The sequence below is a fragment of the Homo sapiens genome, chromosome 20 (genome assembly GCF_000001405.40).
Source record: "Homo sapiens chromosome 20, GRCh38.p14 Primary Assembly".
NCBI lineage: Eukaryota > Metazoa > Chordata > Mammalia > Primates > Hominidae > Homo > Homo sapiens.
Genome location: NC_000020.11, coordinates 62,296,184 through 62,319,224, shown reverse-complemented (window position 1 = coordinate 62,319,224; position 23,041 = coordinate 62,296,184). Strand labels below are relative to the sequence as shown.

General features: G+C 62.2%; 2 protein-coding genes across 13 annotated transcripts in view, besides 3 other annotated features; one reads left to right on the top strand and one right to left on the bottom strand.

Moving 5' to 3' along the window:
• The window catches only part of LAMA5 (laminin subunit alpha 5), a 58,248-nt gene extending 48,088 nt beyond the window's left edge, over positions 1 to 10,160 (top strand). For 3 of the 7 annotated variants that reach the window (XM_047440149.1, XM_047440148.1, NM_005560.6), the window contains 29 exons: positions 212 to 382; positions 575 to 771; positions 1,447 to 1,563; positions 1,726 to 1,880; positions 2,202 to 2,343; positions 2,452 to 2,554; positions 3,167 to 3,277; positions 4,018 to 4,197; positions 4,278 to 4,426; positions 4,500 to 4,670; positions 4,785 to 4,921; positions 5,423 to 5,576; positions 5,765 to 5,898; positions 5,975 to 6,137; positions 6,215 to 6,337; positions 6,445 to 6,593; positions 6,693 to 6,825; positions 6,909 to 7,052; positions 7,175 to 7,305; positions 7,441 to 7,611; positions 7,689 to 7,824; positions 7,918 to 8,063; positions 8,131 to 8,323; positions 8,396 to 8,560; positions 8,653 to 8,806; positions 8,914 to 9,047; positions 9,144 to 9,237; positions 9,390 to 9,509; positions 9,750 to 10,160. In XM_047440149.1, coding sequence (XP_047296105.1) covers positions 212 to 382; positions 575 to 771; positions 1,447 to 1,563; positions 1,726 to 1,880; positions 2,202 to 2,343; positions 2,452 to 2,554; positions 3,167 to 3,277; positions 4,018 to 4,197; positions 4,278 to 4,426; positions 4,500 to 4,670; positions 4,785 to 4,921; positions 5,423 to 5,576; positions 5,765 to 5,898; positions 5,975 to 6,137; positions 6,215 to 6,337; positions 6,445 to 6,593; positions 6,693 to 6,825; positions 6,909 to 7,052; positions 7,175 to 7,305; positions 7,441 to 7,611; positions 7,689 to 7,824; positions 7,918 to 8,063; positions 8,131 to 8,323; positions 8,396 to 8,560; positions 8,653 to 8,806; positions 8,914 to 9,047; positions 9,144 to 9,237; positions 9,390 to 9,509; positions 9,750 to 9,889 — 4,217 coding nt within the window. In that variant the 3' untranslated portion in view covers positions 9,890 to 10,160. Of the gene's footprint in view, positions 1 to 211; positions 383 to 574; positions 772 to 1,446; positions 1,564 to 1,725; positions 1,881 to 2,201; positions 2,344 to 2,451; positions 2,555 to 3,166; positions 3,278 to 4,017; positions 4,198 to 4,277; positions 4,427 to 4,499; positions 4,671 to 4,784; positions 4,922 to 5,422; positions 5,577 to 5,764; positions 5,899 to 5,974; positions 6,138 to 6,214; positions 6,338 to 6,444; positions 6,594 to 6,692; positions 6,826 to 6,908; positions 7,053 to 7,174; positions 7,306 to 7,440; positions 7,612 to 7,688; positions 7,840 to 7,917; positions 8,064 to 8,130; positions 8,324 to 8,395; positions 8,561 to 8,652; positions 8,807 to 8,913; positions 9,048 to 9,143; positions 9,238 to 9,389; positions 9,510 to 9,749 lie in introns of those variants that run through there. The other 4 variants (XM_011528819.3, XM_011528818.3, XM_006723796.4 and 1 more) reach the window with 2 other exon arrangements.
• On the bottom strand, positions 10,363 to 16,329 carry ADRM1 (ADRM1 26S proteasome ubiquitin receptor). 6 transcript variants are annotated; one of them, NM_175573.2, is given in 10 exon segments: positions 10,363 to 10,570; positions 10,755 to 10,857; positions 11,047 to 11,204; positions 11,397 to 11,629; positions 11,773 to 11,854; positions 12,491 to 12,577; positions 12,905 to 13,028; positions 14,648 to 14,764; positions 15,444 to 15,657; positions 16,180 to 16,329. In NM_175573.2, coding segments are annotated over 9 exon segments (1,224 nt in total). In that variant the 5' UTR covers position 15,657; positions 16,180 to 16,329; the 3' UTR covers positions 10,363 to 10,463.
• Positions 12,936 to 13,439: an enhancer, noted in NCBI's record as "H3K4me1 hESC enhancer chr20:60880842-60881345 (GRCh37/hg19 assembly coordinates)". NCBI's record gives its function as "activates a minimal SCP1, AML or CMV promoter by ChIP-STARR-seq in naive H9 embryonic stem cells {active_cell/tissue: H9 hESC(naive)}" and the evidence as "EXISTENCE:reporter gene assay evidence [ECO:0000049][PMID:30033119]".
• Positions 16,119 to 16,578: a silencer, noted in NCBI's record as "silent region_13107". NCBI's record gives its function as "represses an Ori minimal core promoter by ATAC-STARR-seq in GM12878 lymphoblastoid cells {active_cell/tissue: GM12878}" and the evidence as "EXISTENCE:reporter gene assay evidence [ECO:0000049][PMID:35858748]".
• Positions 16,599 to 16,718: a silencer, noted in NCBI's record as "silent region_13106". NCBI's record gives its function as "represses an Ori minimal core promoter by ATAC-STARR-seq in GM12878 lymphoblastoid cells {active_cell/tissue: GM12878}" and the evidence as "EXISTENCE:reporter gene assay evidence [ECO:0000049][PMID:35858748]".

Below are 23,041 nucleotides of genomic sequence, written 5' to 3'. Positions count from 1 at the left end.
GGGTGTTGGAGGCACTGCAGGAGGTGAGGGCCGGGCAGGTGAGGCAGCTGTGGCCTTTCGCCAGGTGCTCTAGGGGCCACCCAGGTGCGCTCAGGTTCCGGGCCCCTGGCCTGCCAAGGATGGCAGGGCTGGGGTCTTGGGCTTGGAAGCCAGCAGGCAGAGGTGCACTAGTACGGGCGGCCCCAGGCTCTGACGAACCCCTGCCCCACAGAGCTCATGTCCCAGACGGGCCACCTGGGGCTGGCCAATGCCTCGGCTCCATCAGGTGAGCAGCTGCTCCGGACACTGGCCGAGGTGGAGCGGCTGCTCTGGGAGATGCGGGCCCGGGACCTGGGGGCCCCGCAGGCAGCAGCTGAGGCTGAGTTGGCTGCAGCACAGAGATGTGAGTGGTGTTGTCCCTGGCAGGCGGGGTGGGGAGAGGCAGGGACCTGGGAGCTCCAAGGGGGAGGTCAGCATGGAGTGGCATCAGGTGGGCATCACGGGGCAGATGGATCTGGCGGGCACCAAGTGGAGACCAGGGGTCATGAAGGGGCCTGGCTTCCAGAGTGACCACCCTCACCCTGGTCTCGGCTAGTGCTGGCCCGGGTGCAGGAGCAGCTGAGCAGCCTCTGGGAGGAGAACCAGGCACTGGCCACACAAACCCGCGACCGGCTGGCCCAGCACGAGGCCGGCCTCATGGACCTGCGAGAGGCTTTGAACCGGGCAGTGGACGCCACACGGGAGGCCCAGGAGCTCAACAGCCGCAACCAGGAGCGCCTGGAGGAAGCCCTGGTGAGGACCCCGGACTTGTTCTTCCTCCTGCTCCTCTTCCCGCCTCCTCCCTGCAATCCCTCTCCTCTCCGGCTCCTCCCCTCCCCTCCCCTCGTCCTCCCCTCCCTCCGTCCTCCCCTCCCTCGTCCTCCCCCCCTCCTCCTCTTCTTCCCCCCCTCCTCCTCTTCCTCCCCTCCCCTCGTACTCCCCTCCCCCTCCTCCTCTTCCTCCTCCCCCTCTCCCCTTCTCCTCTCTCCTCCCTCTTCTCCTGTCCTCTTCTCCTGTCCTCTCCCTCCCCACTCCCCATCTGCCCATCATCCCCCTCCCCCTCCTTGTCCCTCCCCAATCCTCATCCCTTTCCCCACCTCCTCTATTCTCTCCTTCCCCTTCTCCTCCTCTCATTTCCCCATCTCTCCTCACCCCCTCCCATCCTTTCCTCCTCTTCTCCCCCTCCCTGTCCCCTCCCCCTTTTGCCCCCTTCCGCCTTCCTTTCTCTTCTTCCCCACTTTTCTCTCTACCCCTCCATCCTCCTCCTTCCCTCATACTCACACGTTCTAACCCTCCCCTCCTCCCCCCTCCTCACCCCCCATACTCCCCCTCTTTTCTTCTCCCTTCCCTGCCCTGCTGTCCACCCCATCACATCCTTTATTCTTTTCTTACCCCTCATTGTCCCCAACTCCCCTGCATTGCCTTCAGCAAAGGAAGCAGGAGCTGTCCCGGGACAATGCCACCCTGCAGGCCACTCTGCATGCGGCTAGGGACACCCTGGCCAGCGTCTTCAGATTGCTGCACAGCCTGGACCAGGCTAAGGAGGTGAGTGCAGCCCCTGGCCCCTGTCGCCACCCCATCCACGGCCAACTCCCTCCCAGGCCCGTGGGCAGCTTTGTGTGCACACTTGCGTGCAGAGCCCGCCCTCAGGGTCGTGGATCAGGTGGCTGTGAGCAGGATGAGGGGCTAAGTCCACTCAAATTCCAGGAGCTGGAGCGCCTCGCCGCCAGCCTGGATGGGGCTCGGACCCCACTGCTGCAGAGGATGCAGACCTTCTCCCCGGCGGGCAGCAAGCTGCGTCTAGTGGAGGCCGCCGAGGCCCACGCACAGCAGCTGGGCCAGCTGGCACTCAATCTGTCCAGGTGGGTGGCCAGGAGAGGAGGGGCCCTGGGCCCACCCTGGGGATGCAGACAGGGCCTTGGGAGGGCCAGCTGGTCTGGGAAGGCTCCTAGGGGCTGAGGCCGTTGTCCTCAAAGAAGCCAGGCCTTCCTCAGCTCCACGGCAAGCTGGGGCCCAGAGTGACAGGAGCAGTACACCCAGCAGGCGACAGGCACGGGCAAAGACCTGGAGGCGGGACTTGGCGGGCAGGCACGGGCACGGCTGGTTGTGAGCGCAGGAGGCTGGAGAGCCAGGCCGAGGGCGTCTGCGCTTACCCACTCCTTCGACCCTCCCTTCCGCTGCAGCATCATCCTGGACGTCAACCAGGACCGCCTCACCCAGAGGGCCATCGAGGCCTCCAACGCCTACAGCCGCATCCTGCAGGCCGTGCAGGCTGCCGAGGATGCTGCTGGCCAGGCCCTGCAGCAGGCGGACCACACGTGGGCGGTGAGGCCCCTCACTTCCCCTCAGCCCCAGCAGGAGCGCCCCCACTGCCTGCACCTCCCGCAGCCCCGGCCTGCGTGTCTGAGCCACGGTCTGCCCTGGCATCCACAGACGGTGGTGCGGCAGGGCCTGGTGGACCGAGCCCAGCAGCTCCTGGCCAACAGCACTGCACTAGAAGAGGCCATGCTCCAGGAACAGCAGAGGCTGGGCCTTGGTGAGTGCTGGGCTCCGATGGGGGCCCTTAGGCCTGCTGGGCATCTGAGCTCCCAGGGACCCTCAGCCCCCAGCCACATGCACACGTGGGGTTTGTGGGTCACCGCAGCATGGTTTGGGGTGGGAGAGCTTTGGAGATGGCTCCCCAGCTGCTTGTGTGTCAGCCCCGGGGAGCCCTGCAGGGGAGTCCAGGGAGGAGCAGCCTCCTGCGAGGCACTGGCTGCCACTGAGGCACCAGCTGAGCCACAGGGCACAGGGCAAGAGATACGTGGCCTCTGCTCTGCTGACCCGAGGGCTACACGCGTGCCAAGCTGCGCAATGAGAAAGGTGTGAGCTGCTAGGACCAGAGGGCTGTCTCTTCTGAGCCTCTATTGTTTCATCTGTACAATGGGGACAGCTATGCCTGCAGTGGGACCAGAGGCCTTCAGGGAACAGAGGCTACGCTGAGACTCAACACCTCCCCACAGGCTAAGGGACTCCATGTCTGAGTGTCCCTGTCCATCTGTCTGCTGTGTGTCAGCCTTGGTCCTCCTGGGGTCAGAAGGGTGGAGGTGGGCTGCAATTGTATACTGGGGGTGAAGCTGCCTGGGAGCTGAAGCTGCCTCCCCCGCAGTGTGGGCTGCCCTCCAGGGTGCCAGGACCCAGCTCCGAGATGTCCGGGCCAAGAAGGACCAGCTGGAGGCGCACATCCAGGCGGCGCAGGCCATGCTTGCCATGGACACAGGTATGCGGAGCCTGGGCCCGGCTCTCGCAGCCGGCCGACCATGAGGCTCTGTGACAGTGGCGCTGGCCACATGTGGTTGGTGAGCACTCACTGTGCTGTGGAAGAGACCCCCACAGTGGGCAGCTGGGGCCAGACACAGAAAGCCTACCAGGGAGGTGCCAGGGCTGCAGATAGCACAGACAGCCCCAGCCGTCGGGAGCCTGGCAAGCTTGGAAGTGCTTTGGGTAGAAATGGAGTTATAGGTGGGAGGGCTGTAGGCCTTGGGGGGGATTGGGGCACACCCTGCAGGAAGGGCACCCAGGAGGGCACAGTGGTCAGCGTGGCTGGAACCAAGGGGCTGGCAAGACCTTGGGCGGTGAGGACCAGGGCTCCCACCCTGAGAGGCTTGGAGCAGAGGACGATGTGCCTCACCCAGTTTCTGAGGGACCCCTGTGGCTGCGGACTGTTCCCAGCAAGCCCAGGAGAGATGGTGGGGGCCAGGTGGTGGGAGGTGACATGGGGCACATGTCCAGGGACCAGCTGTGGCCTGAGAGGCTGGGTGCCTGTCCTGGCATGGAGGGGGCGTCTGGTGGAGGCATTTAGGATGGGTTTGGATTGCACTGAGCAGCGGGGTGTGAGGGTCTCACACGATCCATAGGGGGTTGGATGTCCCTGTTGCTGGCCCAACAGAAAGACTTGGGGACATGAAGCCAGGATGGTCCCCGCTGGCCCCTGCTGAGCCTGCCCTCTGCCCACCACAGACGAGACAAGCAAGAAGATCGCACATGCCAAGGCTGTGGCTGCTGAAGCCCAGGACACCGCCACCCGTGTGCAGTCCCAGCTGCAGGCCATGCAGGAGAATGTGGAGCGGTGGCAGGGCCAGTACGAGGGCCTGCGGGGCCAGGACCTGGGCCAGGCAGTGCTTGACGCAGGCCACTCAGGTGCGCCCATGGCCCTCGCGGTGCCCCTGATGGAGGCGGGCACGGTGGGGGGCAAAGGTCTCAGGTCTCCCTCTCTGCAGTGTCCACCCTGGAGAAGACGCTGCCCCAGCTGCTGGCCAAGCTGAGCATCCTGGAGAACCGTGGGGTGCACAACGCCAGCCTGGCCCTGTCCGCCAGCATTGGCCGCGTGCGAGAGCTCATTGCCCAGGCCCGGGGGGCTGCCAGTAAGGTGGGTGAGAGTCCCAGGGGAAGGTGGACATCAGGGAGGGTGGTGGTGGACGCTGATGGACCGTGCCCCGCAGGTCAAGGTGCCCATGAAGTTCAACGGGCGCTCAGGGGTGCAGCTGCGCACCCCACGGGATCTTGCCGACCTTGCTGCCTACACTGCCCTCAAGTTCTACCTGCAGGGCCCAGAGCCTGAGCCTGGGCAGGGTACCGAGGATCGCTTTGTGATGTACATGGGCAGCCGCCAGGTACCAGGCTGGCTGGGTGGATGCGGCCCGAGCTCAGGCTCTGTTTGGAAATGAGCGGTGCCTGGTCCCTGGTCCCCGGTCCCCATCCCGACTGTGTGTCTGTCACTGCCGCAGGCCACTGGGGACTACATGGGTGTGTCTCTGCGTGACAAGAAGGTGCACTGGGTGTATCAGCTGGGTGAGGCGGGCCCTGCAGTCCTAAGCATCGATGAGGACATTGGGGAGCAGTTCGCAGCTGTCAGCCTGGACAGGTGGGAGGCCCAGGAGAGAGGCCGGATGCCTCCAACTGCAGGGCCCTTGCCCGTTCGCCATCTCTCCCCTCTCCGTGTGCACCCACCACCCTTCACCTCTCCATGCCCACTCGCCACCCCTCGCCTCTCCGTGCCCACTCGCCACCCCTCGTCTCTGTGCCCACTCGCCACCCCTCGTCTCTGTGCCCACTCGCCACCCGTCTGTGCCCACTCGCCACCCCTCGTCTCTGTGCCCACCCGCCACCCCTCGTCTGTGCCCACTCGCCATCCCTCGTCTCTCCGTGCCCACTCGCCACCCCTCGTCTCTGTGCCCACTCGCCACCCGTCTCTGTGCCCACTCGCCACCCGTCTCTCCATGCCCACTCGCCACCCCTCGTCTCTCCGTGCCCACTCGCCACCCCTCATCTCTCCGTGCCCACTCGCCACCCCTCATCTCTCCGTGCCCACTCGCCACCCCTCATCTCTCCGTGCCCACTCGCCACCCCTCGCCTCTGCCCTCAGGACTCTCCAGTTTGGCCACATGTCCGTCACAGTGGAGAGACAGATGATCCAGGAAACCAAGGGTGACACGGTGGCCCCTGGGGCAGAGGGGCTGCTCAACCTGCGGCCAGACGACTTCGTCTTCTACGTCGGGGGGTACCCCAGTACCTTCACGGTGAGCCCGCCCGGCCTGGGGCAGCCTGGGAGGGGCTCCGCAGCCCCGAGTCGCTTGTGTCCTGGAGAGCCGCGGGTTCTTTTGGTATCTTGCCTCAGTCCGTCCTGCTGTAGTCTGAAGTCCCCTTGGTCCATCCTGGAGGGGAGGCGCCTCAGGCCAGGTGCCCTGACCCAGCCCTGTGCCCACAGCCCCCTCCCCTGCTTCGCTTCCCCGGCTACCGGGGCTGCATCGAGATGGACACGCTGAATGAGGAGGTGGTCAGCCTCTACAACTTCGAGAGGACCTTCCAGCTGGACACGGCTGTGGACAGGCCTTGTGCCCGGTGCGTGTGGCCTGCCCTCCCCGTCTCCACCCACCCCACCCCACCCTCCGCTGACCCCAGAATCTCCGACCTGCAGCTCCAAGTCGACCGGGGACCCGTGGCTCACGGACGGCTCCTACCTGGACGGCACCGGCTTCGCCCGCATCAGCTTCGACAGTCAGATCAGCACCACCAAGCGCTTCGAGCAGGAGCTGCGGCTCGTGTCCTACAGCGGGGTGCTCTTCTTCCTGAAGCAGCAGGTGCGCCAGGCACACCCGTCCTGCCATCCCCACTTGCACTGACCCTGCCCCACACTAACCCTGCCCTGTTTCTGCAGAGCCAGTTCCTGTGCTTGGCCGTGCAAGAAGGCAGCCTCGTGCTGTTGTATGACTTTGGGGCTGGCCTGAAAAAGGCCGTCCCACTGCAGCCCCCACCGCCCCTGACCTCGGCCAGCAAGGCGGTAGGGCCAGGGTGGGGACCAGGGTGGCAGGGAGAGGAGATGGAACGATGGGGGCGGGGCAGGCCGCAGGGACACAGCTGGCCCTGGAGCCCCCACTGGTCCTGTAGATCCAGGTGTTCCTGCTGGGGGGCAGCCGCAAGCGTGTGCTGGTGCGTGTGGAGCGGGCCACGGTGTACAGCGTGGAGCAGGACAATGATCTGGAGCTGGCCGACGCCTACTACCTGGGGGGCGTGCCGCCCGACCAGCTGCCCCCGAGGTAAGCACTGTGCGCAGCTGGGGCTCCGAGGCCAGGCTGTTGGGGCGGTAGGCTGGGCTTGGAGGTGGCGCCCTGACCCGCATCCCCGCTTCCCCACAGCCTGCGACGGCTCTTCCCCACCGGAGGCTCAGTCCGTGGCTGCGTCAAAGGCATCAAGGCCCTGGGCAAGTATGTGGACCTCAAGCGGCTGAACACGACAGGCGTGAGCGCCGGCTGCACCGCCGACCTGCTGGTGAGCAGCCCTCCCCGGGCTGGGGGTGGCATCTGTGGACATGCAGGGGCACCCGCGGGCACTCAGGGATGGCCTCCCCGCAGGTGGGGCGCGCCATGACTTTCCATGGCCACGGCTTCCTTCGCCTGGCGCTCTCGAACGTGGCACCGCTCACTGGCAACGTCTACTCCGGCTTCGGCTTCCACAGCGCCCAGGACAGTGCCCTGCTCTACTACCGGGCGTCCCCGGTGAGACCTCACACCCGTGCCCATTCCCCACCCCGCGGTGGCCGTCGGAGCAGTTGGGACTGGGGTGTCTGGAATGAGTCTGGGTCCCCAGGCCGGCCGGCTGACCTGGCTGCCGTCCCCAGGATGGGCTATGCCAGGTGTCCCTGCAGCAGGGCCGTGTGAGCCTACAGCTCCTGAGGACTGAAGTGAAAACTCAAGCGGGCTTCGCCGATGGTGCCCCCCATTACGTCGCCTTCTACAGCAATGCCACGGGGTGAGCCTGGCCGCTGGGCCCTCATCGTGAAGGTCTGGAGGGACGCCCGCCTGCACTTGCCTGGACCTCTGTCTCCTCTGAGGTGGGGGTGGGCAGGGTGGGGAAAAACCGAGCCTCCGGCCTCCCGCCCCCCAGAGTCTGGCTGTATGTCGATGACCAGCTCCAGCAGATGAAGCCCCACCGGGGACCACCCCCCGAGCTCCAGCCGCAGCCTGAGGGGCCCCCGAGGCTCCTCCTGGGAGGCCTGCCTGAGTCTGGCACCATTTACAACTTCAGTGGCTGCATCAGCAACGTCTTCGTGCAGCGGTGAGCCTGGTGGGCGCTGGGGGACAAGGTCCCAGCTGGCCTTCCGCAGCTGCTGACCGCCTGCCCGCCCTGCACAGGCTCCTGGGCCCACAGCGCGTATTTGATCTGCAGCAGAACCTGGGCAGCGTCAATGTGAGCACGGGCTGTGCACCCGCCCTGCAAGCCCAGACCCCGGGCCTGGGGCCTAGAGGACTGCAGGCCACCGCCCGGAAGGTGGGCACCCCAGGGGTGAGCAGGCAGAGCTGGGGTGGCTGGAAGGGTGGCCCCTGTGTGGGCGGCCCCTGCATTCACCATCCACGCCCCCAGGCCTCCCGCCGCAGCCGTCAGCCCGCCCGGCATCCTGCCTGCATGCTGCCCCCACACCTCAGGACCACCCGAGACTCCTACCAGTTTGGGGGTTCCCTGTCCAGTCACCTGGAGTTTGTGGGCATCCTGGCCCGACATAGGAACTGGTAAGGCCAGGCCCGGCTGGGGTGGGCTGAGAGGGGCCGCGCAGGCTGACGCCAGCTCCGCTTCCAGGCCCAGTCTCTCCATGCACGTCCTCCCGCGAAGCTCCCGAGGCCTCCTCCTCTTCACTGCCCGTCTGAGGCCCGGCAGCCCCTCCCTGGCGCTCTTCCTGAGCAATGGCCACTTCGTTGCACAGATGGAAGGCCTCGGGACTCGGCTCCGCGCCCAGAGCCGCCAGCGCTCCCGGCCTGGCCGCTGGCACAAGGTGAGGGCCGAGAAGAAGGAAGGTGGTGGGCAGGGCCTGGCAGCCCTACCCTGACCCATCTCCTGCCCCCAGGTCTCCGTGCGCTGGGAGAAGAACCGGATCCTGCTGGTGACGGACGGGGCCCGGGCCTGGAGCCAGGAGGGGCCGCACCGGCAGCACCAGGGGGCAGAGCACCCCCAGCCCCACACCCTCTTTGTGGGCGGCCTCCCGGCCAGCAGCCACAGCTCCAAACTTCCGGTGAGAACCATCTTGCCCCAGCCCCCACTCCCCACCCACTGTTCCCTTTCAGCTGCCCTGGGCCCTGATCCCTGCCCGGTCTGCTCCTATAGGTGACCGTCGGGTTCAGCGGCTGTGTGAAGAGACTGAGGCTGCACGGGAGGCCCCTGGGGGCCCCCACACGGATGGCAGGGGTCACACCCTGCATCTTGGGCCCCCTGGAGGCGGGCCTGTTCTTCCCAGGCAGCGGGGGAGTTATCACTTTAGGTCTGTGGGTGCTGGCATCCCAGGCCTCAGCAGGGCAGGGCAGGGGGCTCCAGGAGGTTCTGGGGAGGGGCCCCCCCTTTCTTCTCCATCACAACCCCTCCCCGCAGACCTCCCAGGAGCTACACTGCCTGATGTGGGCCTGGAACTGGAGGTGCGGCCCCTGGCAGTCACCGGACTGATCTTCCACTTGGGCCAGGCCCGGACGCCCCCCTACTTGCAGTTGCAGGTGACCGAGAAGCAAGTAAGCCTGGCAGAGGTGGCGTGCCAGGGCAGGGTTTGCCTCCCCATTCTGGTGACCTCGGGGGCATAGCCTGACCCTCCCTTCCTACCCCGCCAGGTCCTGCTGCGGGCGGATGACGGAGCAGGGGAGTTCTCCACGTCAGTGACCCGCCCCTCAGTGCTGTGTGATGGCCAGTGGCACCGGCTAGCGGGTGAGGCCCCTCCTGTGGCCAGGGCACTCTGCCACCCCCACCCTTCTGCAGAGCGGGAGCCAGGCGGGACTCTGGGTGGGGTGGCTTCTTTTGGGGCTGGAGAGAGGCTGGGCTGAGGACCACCTGGCCTCAGGAGTCCCCCTTTCTCCCAGTGATGAAAAGCGGGAATGTGCTCCGGCTGGAGGTGGACGCGCAGAGCAACCACACCGTGGGCCCCTTGCTGGCGGCTGCAGCTGGTGCCCCAGCCCCTCTGTACCTCGGGGGCCTGCCTGGTGAGTGCGGCCTTGATCAAGGGTGGGGGAGCTGCCCCTCAGGACTAGGTGCTGCGTAACCTACCACCCTCCCCCCACCCCTCCACCCCCTGCCCCCTCCCACCCTCCTCCCACCCCCCTACCACCCTCCTATGATGTGGAATGAGACAGGGGCTGGGTGGGGCACTGACGTTTGGGAAGGGCCTGTGGGTCTCTAGCTGCCCACCAACCAGCCTTCTTCCATCTTCCCTGTGCCCCCAGAGCCCATGGCCGTGCAGCCCTGGCCCCCCGCCTACTGCGGCTGCATGAGGAGGCTGGCGGTGAACCGGTCCCCCGTCGCCATGACTCGCTCTGTGGAGGTCCACGGGGCAGTGGGGGCCAGTGGCTGCCCAGCCGCCTAGGACACAGCCAACCCCGGCCCCTGGTCAGGCCCCTGCAGCTGCCTCACACCGCCCCTTGTGCTCGCCTCATAGGTGTCTATTTGGACTCTAAGCTCTACGGGTGACAGATCTTGTTTCTGAAGATGGTTTAAGTTATAGCTTCTTAAACGAAAGAATAAAATACTGCAAAATGTTTTTATATTTGGCCCTTCCACCCATTTTTAATTGTGAGAGATTTGTCACCAATCATCACTGGTTCCTCCTTAAAAATTAAAAAGTAACTTCTGTGTAACCGAATGAATGTTGACTTAAATACGGAGAGAGTGAGTCTCAAGACAGATCTGGAACCGGCCTGGACAGAGGCACCAAACTCTTCCTGGGGTGACCGTTTTCCGTTGTTAGGTCAAATAACTAACTGTCTCTGGGACCCTACAGCAGCTCCCCACGCTAGCACCTGTCCAGCCGAAACTCCCTTTGGGCAAAGAAACTAAGCATTGGCAGGTAAAAGAAAAGACTTTATTAATAATCAGTGGGTGGGAGGTGAGGGTGTGCAACGCACTGCAAGCGCCCAGTTCCTCGGAGGACGGCGCGTGGCTCAGTCCAGGCTCATGTCCTCCTCTTCGTCCTTCTTGTCCTTCGTGTCGCCCTCTTTCTGCTCGGGCTTGGCGTTGTTCTGCATGGCTTTGGCAAACGCTTCCACATCTAGAACACGTTAAAGACACAAGGTGGTGTCTAACCCTTGCCCAGAACTGGGGATCAAAGCGATGGGATCAAGGGCAGAAGGGCTGTGACCTTTACCCCCTCAGCCCCACTTCTGCAGATCCAGGGGGACAGGAATGGACCCTGCCCCTGGCTCTGGCCTGGAGGTGCAGGCGCAGCCACTTACCGCCCTTGTTGGCGGCCTCCACAGCCTCTGCAGGCAGACCGAACTGGCACATGAGGGGGCCCAGCTGCCCCGAGGCCAAGGCTGCGCTGAACATGCCCAGGGCCTGCAAGAAGAGCCAGGCGAGGGCTGAGCTCCAACCCGGGCTGCACCCCAGAGCCACACTGCTCAGCTGCCAGCTCTGCGGGTCAGGCACATGAAGCACTGGCCATGGTGAAGGTGGGGCAGGGCCTCCTCCTCCCCCCTGCCCACTCCCTGAGCACACAGTGGAGGACACCCTGGGCCCGGCCTCTACCTGCTGGAACTGGGGCGAGGTCAGGGTATTCTGGATCTCATCCGCGGTCTGCGGCAGCGACTCCCCAGATGGCAAGTAGGGAAGCAGGCGCTCCTGGACATCCGCGTTGGCGAGGATGGGAGCCATTATCTCCGGCGTCAGCACACTGGCCAGGTCCACTGGGGCACAAGAACACGGCCATCAGCTCGATGACAGCCTAAGTGCCCACATGGAAGGCATGCAAGCAGGGACTCAGCCCATGGCCCCAGCACCCCAGGCGCGCACACTAGGCAGATGCCTTGGAAGGTGAGCGTGCGAGGGTCAGCAGGCCCCATGCCCCCCACCCAGCTCCAGGCGACAGCACACGTTACCTTGCTGGCCGCCTGCTGGCCCGGCTGGTACGTTCATCGTGGCCAGGATGCTCTGGAGGTCGCTCAGCTGGATGGGCTGGGTCGGGCTGGCTGCTGTGCTGGCTCCATTCCCGGAACTGGGCGCGGGGCTCGGGCTAGTTGCTGAGGCAGCTGCTGGAGCAGAAGGGGCTGGGGTGGCACGGGTGGAAGAGGTGGTGGATGACGGGGTGACCGCTGCCGACTGGCTCCGGGAGCTGCGAAGAGAGAGGGCACCGCTGGAGCGGACACGCCCCACACGGCAGGGCCTACTCGCAGGGTCCAGGGTGCTGGGCCAGGATTCCCCACTGCCCCTCCCTTAACACCGTGGCACCTGCGTGGCAGGAGCGATGAGGCTCACCTGGAGGAGGAGCTGCTCCCTGGAGGCCCACTGCTCCCCAGTAAGCTGGCCAGGCCAGGTCCAGTCAGGGCCCCCAGCCCACCTGCGAGGGGCAAGGAAATGCGAGCTCAGGATGCCCTCTAGCCCACCAGAAAGAGCCTGGCCCCTCCCCAGGCCAGAGGAGCAGGAATTCCCAACACCAAAGCCAGGAAGAAGCGGGGCGGTGGGGACCCACAGGCCTGGAGGAGCGGCGTGGGGCGGGTGGACACTTGCGGCTGTGTTCTGGAAGCAAGGTCATTTCTGTTCCATCCCATTACACAATTCATGTGCTTAGATTAGAAGATTCAGTCCAGATCCCACCCAAAGGGACAAGCATTTCTGAAGGGCCAAGCACACGGGTCTGCACTCCATGAGCTGGCAGCAGGCAGGCAGCCATGTAGGGCCAGGGGACCCAGGGCGCAGGAACCCCAGCTCCCTCCAGTCCTCCAGCCCCACCGCTCGGCCAGCCACCCTCCTCTGAAGTACCCAGCTGGGGTCCTCACCAGGGGCCCAGAAGCCCTCGCCTACCCAGCTCTAGCCACAGGCAAACAAGCGCATTCCCAAAGGGGAACCAGCTTGCGGACACACAGGCTCCCCGACACTACGCAGACAGAGCCAGCAGAAGTTTAAAGGAAACAGAGACCGGGCCTCAAAGCATTCCCAGCAGAAGCTGCCCGAGAGCCCGGGTGGCGCACGTTACCCAGTCCTCCAAGGCCGGCTGGTCCGATGAGCTGCATGAGCTGGCTGTGGCTCATGTTTCCCAGCAGGCTCTGCAGGCCACCCTCACCTGGAAAACACTGCAGCTCAGGCGGGCCTGCCCCAGCCAGATCCACGCGGGCCCCACCGCACTGCCTGCGCCTCTGCTGAGCACCGCACTCGGCTGCCCCTGAACCCTACAGGGGGCACCACTTGAAGTGAGGCGACGGTGGGATGCAGACCCGTCCTACCCCGTGAAGGTGGGAGTGGGGAGTGACCCAGGGAGCTCACAGGGTCTCTAACTTTTAGAATCTTCTATTTCCACTTCCAAACAACCTGTGCTGAGGGGGCGAGTCATCCACAGTAGACTCTGGCCTCCCAGGAAACCCTGAGCTCACGTGACACATGTGACAGTTACCGCCTAGCGCAGAGAGTTCGTGGCCGCTGCTTCCGCTGGCCCCCAGCGCCCCAGGCATCGGGGGGTTGTTCAGATACTCGTTGACTTTCCGGCAATGCTCCTCATCCTGGTCTGTCTTGGGTTCCTGCAAGAGGAAGGGCATGTAAGGGCAGGAGCTGGCGCCAGCTCACCCAGGGCCACCACAGCCATCCTCTGACCTGGCTTCCAGGTGAGGGACCTGAGACGCAGAGGCGCGTGTGCCTGGCCACACAATGCTGAGGAGACAGGACCCGGCCCAGCAGGTGAGGGGACGGCAGTGGCGCCTCCTGAGCACGATGCTCTGCGCCCTGTCCCCATCCGCCGCAATCCCGGGTGTGCCCTGTCCCCCTCCGCCCATTTCACAAATGGGGAGCCTAGAGCTCCGAAGGCACTTAGCTGCTGCCAGACCAAGCCCTCTCACCCTCCTGCCCTCTGGGGTGCGGTTCTTTACACACCCGTCTCCTTCCTTCAACCAGTGGAAGGCAGCGAACTGGCCCGCTCAGCACACCGCGGCCCAGGGCCACGGCAGGCGCTCACAATCGAGCACACGCGTGTGCACACACATGTGCACAGATCAGTGTCAGAAGCATCGACCTGCGAGCTCACAGAGCTGGGAGCAGAGCACCCACGCACACCCCGAATGGCTATGGAAGCTGCAGGGCGCCAGGGACACTGGGAGTCCCTGCTCTCATGGCAAAGCAGGGACGGGGGACTTAAAAGCCACCAACAGGAAAATCGGGGAAAAAAGGGAGATGGTGGTAACAGTTGGACACTATTTCTTGGCAAAACCGTGGAAAAACACGTTCTACACCAGCAGGTGGCAAATTGTGGCCGCCATCTGTGTTTGCAAATAAAGTTTAACTGGAGTTTGGCTATGCCTGTTCATTTTCTCAGGCCGCTGCACACTACTTGCACAGGTGACCAGCAACACAGACCATGTGCTCCACAGAGACCTCAGCCAGGGCCACCCCTGCTCTTGAAAGTGCCAAGGGGGGTGGGGTGGGGACAGCAGCTCCACCTCTGGCAGAGAGCATGGCCTTCTCTCTCCACACTGCAAACGCATGCACACGCTTCCTGACCACAGGCCCGCCACCAGTTTTCACCTACAGATGATACTGGCTTATGGAAAATGATCTGTGTACCGGGAAATTCTTTGCAACACTGCCTGTAACAGCACAAAAAACGGCAACAAGCTCAATGGTCACTGACAGATGGCAGAATGAGCAGCGGCCTCTAGACCCAAAAGACGCTCTGCAGCTGTGGGTAAGAGAAACCCTGGGCACTGACACCCCTGGCCTCCAGGACACACTGCCAGGGAAGGGGCAGGACTGTGGAAAGTGTGAGCAGGATGCTTCGTTTCTGTGAGCACCAGCAGGGAAGCCACACAGGGGCCTCTGCCTCTGCTGTGGGGGCCTCAGTGACCCACGGCAAGGGGCAGAGAGAGGGCACTGGGCATCGTTAGAACCAGGGCCAGCATGTCTGTCTGCCTGGAAATTTCACACCGCAATCGGTTGCCCGCAGCCCAGCCTGGAGCCTCCGTACTCTGGGAGAGGACCTCGGCCCCAGGTAGCATGCACCGCAGCCCTGAGGTGGCATCTCAGGCCGTGTGGCCGGGTGTGGCCGGCGCCTGCTGGTTTATAAAAGCCAATTGCACCACACTGTAAGCAAGTTCCTAACCGAATCGCAGGGCAACAAAAAGGCACAACCCCAAGGCCTGCCCCATACCTGCATCCAGAAGAAAAGCCGCTTGGACCCTGCCTTGAACTTCAGCACGTAGACCCTCCCGCTGGGGCACTGCGGCACCCGCTTGAACTCACAGTCGTCAGGGAAGATGATCAAGTCCTGGCAAGCCAGGGGAAGAGAGAGTCAGTGGCGCAGATGGCATCACTGTGCCCAGTCTCAGGAGAGCGTACTGAGCCCTGGGTCTAACCGGGTGGGGTGCGCAAGGGGCAGCTAAGCCGCCAGACCCCTCGCTGGCAGGGTCTCCACAAGGCAGAGAAGCCAGGGTCAGAGACAGCCCATGAAAGGCAAGGCCGGGGGAGAGAGCAGGGAAAGGGGCCTTTCAGATGGCAACGGGGTTTCTGAGACGTGCTGGAAACAACATTCCCAGAGTAGTTAAAAAGTCAACGCTGAACTGCTCTCAAATGTAACAAAGAACAACTAAGAGTTTGAAAAACAAAGAAGACTGAGTGAAGCCGCCAGGCACAGAGCTCCAGGCTCTCCAGGGCCACACCTCCAACCCCAGGCACCTCACACGGACAGTTCAAGGCCAGGCACAGAGCTCCGGGCTCTCCAGGGCCACACCTCCAACCCAGGCACCTCACACGGACAGTTCAAGATACACAGTGGCCGAGATGCCCCTGTCACCGCGGAAACCAGGACGACCCATCAGCAGGGCAGTCGATGACGGCCCCACGAGCGGTCCCCAGATGCGGCCAAGCCCCCACCGCGAACTCCAAAGCGAGGACTCCGAGGGCCCGAGAAGTCGCCTGTCCTGCTGCTGCGGCTCAGGGACACTCACGTCTTCCACGTTCCCGGACGTCCTGTCCTTCCAGCAGAAGTGAATAAGCGAGTCGTCCGTCTGCTGAATGTACACCAGCCCTTTCCGCTTATCCGGAGTCACGGTGGTCCCCTTCAGGGACATCTTTCCCGCCCGAAACTCCACCAAGTACTTGTTGGAGGCGCCCCGAGAGCCTGGCACCAGGCTTGGAAAGAGCGCGCCTGAGGTCGTCATCCTGAAAGCGCGGAGAGGACGCTGAGACGCGGCGGTCACTGTCGCCTGCGGTCCGGCAAGCTCCCGCCCCCTGGGGTGTTTGCGAGCAGGGGGCCTGCGCCCAGAGCTGCCTAAGGCAGACTCAGACACGCCGGGCTGCCTTTCCGCGTTTGCCCCGCTCACGACGATCGCACCGCCCGCACTCGGCGCTGGGCCGGGGCAGCCCCGCCAAGCCTAGTGGGGCCGGCCCTAGGCTTGACGCCGTCTCCGCGGGGCACCAGCCTCGACGCGCCACCCCGGCGACCCGCTCCGCGGGGCAGACCCGCCCGAGCTCCCGCCGAGCCCCACGTTCAGAGCCGCAGGCGGAACCGGGGCGGCGCCCGAGACCCCAGAACCCCCGCCCGGCCCGGCCCCCGCAGGCCCCACCCGCCGCGCCGGCCACCTTCTCGTCTTGGCTGCCCCCGCCCCATCCTTGGTCCAGCAGCCCCTGCCCCCGCCTCCGGTCGCCCCCGGCCGCCCCAGGCCCGGCGACTCCCGCACCTGCCTCGCGCCCACACTCGTTCGAGAGGCGCCGTCCGGGCTCGCTCTTCCTCCTCGGCGCCTGCCGGGCCCCGCCGGAAACCCGCGTTCGGCCCGCCCCGCCTGCCGCTCTCGCCGCCGATTGAGCCCCGTAAGCCGCGCAGCCGGCTCTAACCTGCCAACGATTGGCGAGGGCGACCGTCCATCGCACTCGCTCCTCCCCGGTCCGCCCCCGCGCCGGCGGCTCTTTTCCGGCGGAAGCGCGGGCCGCAGGGCGCTTGGACCAGAGCGGCCCCTATTGTTGCTGTGTCATAGGGGAGCGGCGGCGGCCCCTAGAGGCGGCGCCAGGGACCACAGGCGGGTTTCAGAGGGGCGCTGGGGAACTGCTCAGGTGGGGCCGAGCCCACCCCTCGGCGTCGCCCGCCCGGGCGGGCAGAGCTGTCACTCGTGTGGCTGAGCCAGGGGTTAGGCGGAGGCCGAGGAGTGCGGTCCGGCTGTGGGCGGCGGGCACCAGGGCTACGCATAGAAGTGACCATGGGTTCAGCGCTTTGGGGACCCAGGCGGGAGCTGGAGTCCACGCGTCCGGGAGAGCAGGGGTCCGGGAGGGTAGAGCGAGGGTGAGAACCGTGATATGGTCTCAGCTGTATACATCTAGTCCCGCAGGGGTCCGGGAGGGCAGGGGTCAGGAAGGGGTGGGTCCGGGAGGAGAGGGGTCCCGAGAGGGGAGGGGCTCCTGGAGGGGAGGGATCTGGGAGGGGTGAGTCCGGGAGGGGAGGGGTTCCCGGAGGGGAGGGGGCCCGGGAGGGGAGAGGGTCCCGGAGGGGAGGGATCTGGGAGGGGTGAGTCCGGGAGGGAGGAGTCAGGGAAGGCCTGAGTCCCAGACGGGTAGGGTCCTGGAAGGGAGGGGTCCTGGAGGGCAGGGGCTCACCCTCTGGACGCCTGGATGGGAAAGGCCACAGGGTAAAAAGGCGGCAGTCGCCCGCCAGTGTTGTGTAACTTTGAGTCACTTTGACACAAACTAAAGCGAAGACAACAGATAGTGTTTGTGGCGCCCCAGCCGGCTGCTGAAGGGACACGTTCTTTGGGATTTGCCTACAGCGACGCCAGGCGGGGGCTCTTAGAGGGCTCAGGCGCGGTGGCTCACGCCTGTAAACCCAGAACTTTGGGAGGCCGAGGCGGGCGGATTACTTGAGGCCAGGAGTTCAAGACCAGCCTGGGCAACATGGTGAATGAAACCCCGACTCTACTAAAAATGCAAAAATTAGCCAGGTATGCTGGCACATGCCTGTAATTCCATCTACTCAGGAGGCTGATGCACGAGAATCGCCTGAACCCGGGAGGTGGAGGTTGCAGTGAGCCGAGATTGCACCACTGCACTCCAGCCTGGGCGACAGAGGAAGACTCCTTCTCAAAAAAAAAAAATAATAATAATAATAGTAATAAAATAGAGAGGTCAGGCGCTTCGTGAGAACCCTGAGGTGCAGTGGCCTCTGCACCCCAGTTAAGCAAGACTAGATGTTTGCAGCTGAGACTGTGCCAGGGTCCTCAGGTTCTCCTTTGCCCATCGCTCACTTCCTTCTTTCCTTCAGATACTTCACTCCCTTCGGGCGCTCCCCGGGGTCACCGTGTGCTTGGTGGCTCACCCTCAGAGTGGATGCACAGCTGTGTGCTTACGTGCTCTCTGAGGTCTTTAGGTGTGTGTTTTCACTCACCCTTGTTGGGAGATGCGTTGGTGTTGATGCTGGCAGCTCCAGTCCTTTCATTCTGCAGGGAGCCTACTACTCAGGCCTCCATTGTCTCGGTGGCAGAGCTTGTGCCAGTTATGTTTAGTTGCCAGCTTTTGACTGTCATAATGCTTCCATTTGAAACATTGATTGAGCTAAAGATTCACGTTTTTTGTTTTGGAAAATGTAGCCACTTTTCATTTTAAAATGTGTGTTAACAGGTAGTAAGTTTGTTATTGTTATTTTTATGTAGCTAAATAATTTTAAATGTCCTCTTAATTCCTAGTATGGTAAATGTCAATAGATAAAGCTCACATAAACAAAAGCTCTTTGGGGTCCTGTATAATTTTTAAGAATTTAAACGGTTCCAGAAGCTAAAGGGCTTGAGAGGGGCTAACACAAAGCTCTGTGGCCCGCTGGTGACAGGTGCGTCACTGATACTGCAGCCCCATCCTCGTGCCCTCGTGTAAAACAGGGAAAAGGTGGAAATGAGAAAACCCAGCCTGGCTTTCCCGGCAAGAAGGTGGCAAGCGTCACTTGTTTATGTCACAGACAGTAAAGCAGAAGCCCCAGGGTCCGCAGGGGCCAAGTGTGCAGAGGCCAACGCAGTGGCCAAGAGGACCCTGGATTTACCATTTCCTCCACTTCCTGGAGGCCCTGTGGCCTGGGATGGCTCAAACAACCCCAGAACTCTTTACCCACACTTCAAGCGAAACTCCCACATTCCTATGAGCATGCTGCAGTGAGGAAACGAGCCGCAGCCAGGCAGGCTTTGCAGAGGCCACTGTGGGTGCCCGCTGCCAGCCCACGGGCTCTATGCGTGTGTGGGGTATGGCACCTGGAGCACCCAGCAGCCCAGGACTCCAGCTGTGGCCACAGAGTGGGTGGGGGGGCACACGCTGCTTTGTGTCAGGAATCTCGGACTTGAAGCACACACAAGGTCAGAAGGGCTGTGTGACATGTGCAGCTGTCCCTATCTTCTAATTGGTCGCTGATGGCAGTTGGTGGGACGTCTGCAAAATGCCCGCAGCATCTAGAGGAGCAGCCTCACCGGGACACGCGCATTCAGCTAAAGGATTTGGACTAAGAGATCCCCCAAAAGAGATTTCTATTCATCCTGTTTAGCAAAAAAAAAACAACCCCAGACTTGCATGATGGCTCACACCTGCAATCCCAGCACTTTGGGAGGCCGAGCTGAGAGGGTCCCTTGAAGCCCAGGAGTTCCAAGACCAGCTTAATCAAGACAGTGAGACCCTGTCTTTAGAAAAAGACAAATTAAAAAAGAGCCAGCCATGGCGGTGCATGCCTGTAGTCTCAGCTACTTGGGAGGCTGAGGTGAAGGTCAAGGCTGGCGGTGAGCCGTGATGGCACCACTGCACTGCAGCCTGGGTGACAGAGCGAGACCCTGTCTCAAAAAAGCCCCAAACTGTAAAGAAAGCACACCCTGATGCTCTCCACGTGCTGCAGGCTCCTCGGGTGAAAGGTGGGCGGCAGAGCCCAGGCTGCGCCTCCACGTGGGCAGAAGACACCTCCGGATGTTTCACCAAAGAGGTCACAGGCAGCAAAGGCACCATGGCAAGCTGCTCAACACCATTATTCATGAGGGAAATGCAAATGAAATACACCTGCTGGAACTTAGCAAACGATGGAAGGTGCCAGGCAAAGTTGGAAACACCAATGGCACGGCTACTTCGGAAAAGCATTTGGCAGGGGTAGGGTTTTTTAAACTTTTTTTTTTTTTTTTTTTTTTTTGAGATGGAATCTCACTCTATCCCATAGGCTGGAGTGCAGTGGCTTGATCTCAGCTCATTGCAGCCCCCGCCTCCTGAGTTCAAGCAGTTCTCCTACCTCAGCCTCCTGAGTAGCTGGGATTACAGGCATGTGTCACCAGACCCGGTTAATTTTTGTATTTTTATTAGAGACAGGGTTTCACCATGTGGGCCAGGTTGGTCTCGAACTCCTGAGCTTGAGCGATCCACCCGCCTCAACCTCCCAAAGGCTGGGATTACAGGTGTGAGCCACTGCACCTTGTGGGTTTTTTTTTTTTTTAACATTTTAAAAATAGACAAGTCACAACTGAGTGGAAGGCAGAGAGTTCTGGTCCCCCTGGGTGTTCGGTGAGCTACGCCGCCACCGGGTCAGCGCCCAGAGCCCGCCATTCGCGTCGAGGTCCACGTCGGTCCATCTGTGCTGCCACCACTGACCAGGCAGTTTACAAAGAAGCGAAACGTACTTTCTCACAGTTCTGCAGGTCCGGAAGTCAGCGTCAGTGGGGCGGCAGGCCTGGTTGTCTGGTGAGCGCTGTCCTCACCTGGCGTGGCACTGATGCTCTGTGGGGCAGACCAGGCAGTGTGGGAGGAGCCTCTGGCTCCGGGCTCAGGCAATGGTGGTGGAGCCCCACAGCCAAACCCCTGGAGCATTCCGAGAGCATGGACGTCTTGTGGACCGTGTGTCCCTCTGCCCCAGCCACACTGACCACTGGGACGACTGAGTCTGCTCAGCTTACGCTCCTGAAAAGCACGAAGGTGCTGGGGCAACTTACGGCAGAAGGCAGGCAGCTGAAACCTGGGGCACCGGGCCCTTCGCTGCTTCTAGCAGTAGCGTCCCCCCGCCAGGGGAGGGGGGTCCATCAGAGCCTCCTGCTGCTTGGAGAACCTGGGTGCTCCACCCATCACATGTGCCGCCCGACAGGTGTCACGAGTGTCCCCCAGCCCCCTCTCCACAGGGCAGTTTTTGGAAATGAGCCATTTGCTTGGCCAATCCTCAGGAACACGCGGTCCAAACTTCTGATAACCAGGCATGAGGACTCATCCTTAGCAGATTTGTAGCCCTTTTCAAAATGGCCAGAGCGGCTGAGATGGTGAAAAATTGCTCAGTGTAAAACAAAGGTCACCTGCTGCCCATCTTCAGAGAATCTTCATTCAAATCTTAGAGGTTAACATTTATTTTCACAGATGTGTACACAGCCCTCTGAAAAATCTGAGGATGACTGTGTTAATGCAGTTTGGCACTGACAGTTGTTAAATATTATAAAATAAGTGCGTTCTGCTGGCATCTTTTCTCAGCTGCCATGTCCTTGCTGCCTGCTGGGATGAATGGCACTGGAGGAGGAGCTGGGTGAAGGCACGGGGAGGGGTGAGGGCCTGCAAGGTGTGGGCGACAGGAAAGCCCGGCTGCACACCATCGCCCTCTGCAGAGCCACCGTCGTGCTCCTAAACATCTGGCCACGGCAGCCTGGCTCCCAAAGCTCACCAAGCGAAGGACCGACTGTGAAGTGAACTTCGTACCCAGAGCTGGCAAATGTGGCTTTCGCCTCACAGAAATTTTACATCAGCCTGTAGAAGACGGTGAGGAACCATCTTTTGAGGGGTCCGAGGGAGACCCAGCTCCCGTGCTGCCTGGCAAGCAGCAGGAGCCACCGCCACGTTCTCGGCCACGGCAGGGGCCCCGTCTTTTGTGTCCACTTTACACACAGGCAAGTCCAGATGTGGCCATCAAAGAAAACTGGGACCATCAGGACTTCCTGCAGATGGATCGAACTCTCCTCTGGGGTCCAGCTGCGCCCCTCGTCCACATCTGTGCTGGCTGGAGGGTCAGGGCTCCACTCTGCCCGACAAGCAGTCTGGTGCAGGGGACGCAAATGTCACACCCAGCAGGGCCCGGCACTTGGAGACCTGAACTCTGTCGCCCAGCTCAGTGGGAAGCTCACCAGAACTCGTAACTGTCTTTGCTTTGTTTTCCTTCACGGAAATGACAAGGACCTGTAAAACTTGTAAATCCCCATTTCTGCTGGGGAGAAATTTTCCCCAAAGAGCAGGATGCCTTGTGAGGAGGCCTCCAGGCGTTTCTCTTGTCCTGTTCTAACCTCCTGACCTTGTGTTCAGATGTGCCTGGCAAACCGGGGCAGGTCCTTGGTGTTCAAGGCCAATGCCCCAGATGGACAGCTCCATGCTCAGACACGTGGACAGTGGGGTGCCCGGAGGCCACCAGGGTGGCATGTGGCACTTCTCCAAGTGCCGGGCCCTGCTGGGTCTGACATTTGCGTCCCCTGCACCAGACTGCTTGTCGGGCAGAGTGGAGCCCTGACCCTCCAGCCAGCACAGATGTGAGCTCTGGGGATGGCGTCTGGAAGGGGTGGTGGTGACCGGGAGCACCTGCAGGCACCACTCTTCCTGTACCGGCTTTCCCACTTGCCGCCGGAGGCTGGGAAACTCACGGTACACACAGGCACCTCCCCACGACCAAGGCATCTGGGCCGCTGGCTCGCTCTCCTCCCAGACAGCAGTCTCGGGAGGGTCTGGCTTCAGGACAGCCTGCACCAGCAAAATGCCGGATGTCCATCAGGGCTGGGGACCAGGGCCAGCTGTCCCCCACTTCCCACAACCCAAGCCTCGCCCGGTGAGAAGGCTGCAGGTGTTGGTGACACCCGACCCTTCACCGTCCTTGGACACTAGGGCAGGGCAGACGTCGCCACGTGGCCAGCGACTCAGATCCACACCGTCATCCCAGGTGAGCCTGGTGAGCAGCAGCATGTGCTATGTTGCCAACACGTGCTTTGCATGTGGCTCTCCGTGCTTTGCATATGGCTCTCCGGGAGGCATGCCTGTTCACCGTTCTGTCTCCAGCAGCTCACAATACATACACCCTGAACCAATGACCATAGAACCGAATTCTCATTTCAATTAGCAATAGAATCCAACCAAGGTATTAGGTTCTGTTGGGGAATAAGCTTGCTAGGTTTTTCATTCTGTAAGGACATCCTACATGACAGGATTAATTTTTTAAAAGAACCAAGGGCCTGGCACAGTGGCTCACACCTGTAATCCCAGCACTTTGGGAGGCTGAGGCAGGAGGATTGCTTGAGCCCAGGAGTTCAAGACCAGCTTGGGCAACACAGTGAGATCCTGTCTCTACAAAATTGTTTTAAAAAAATAGCTGGGTTTGGTGGCATGTGCCTATGGTCCTAGCTACTTGGGAGGCTGAGGCTGGAGGACTGCTTGAGCCCAGGATGTCGAGGCTGCAGTGAGCTATGACTGCACCACTGCACTCGAGCCTGGGCAACTGACCCTATCTCTAAAAGTGAATAAAGCACCAAGACCCTTGGTCAAGGCCATACTCACACCCAAACGCGTGGCCCACGAGAAGGCCATCACTTTCCACACA

What these genes read in the sequence shown, in the direction of transcription:
- ADRM1 (NM_007002.4), bottom strand. Translation starts at nt 15,656, where the DNA reads ATGACGACCTCAGGCGCGCTCTTTCCAAGCCTGGTGCCAGGCTCTCGG. An exon ending in AGCCGGCCTTGGAGGACTGG is followed by an intron (nt 11,855 to 12,490) that starts GTAACGTGCGCC and finishes TGCCCCTCGCAG; the next exon opens with GTGGGCTGGGGGCCCTGACT. An exon ending in GGGAGCAGCTCCTCCTCCAG is followed by an intron (nt 11,630 to 11,772) that starts GTGAGCCTCATC and finishes CTCTCTTCGCAG; the next exon opens with CTCCCGGAGCCAGTCGGCAG.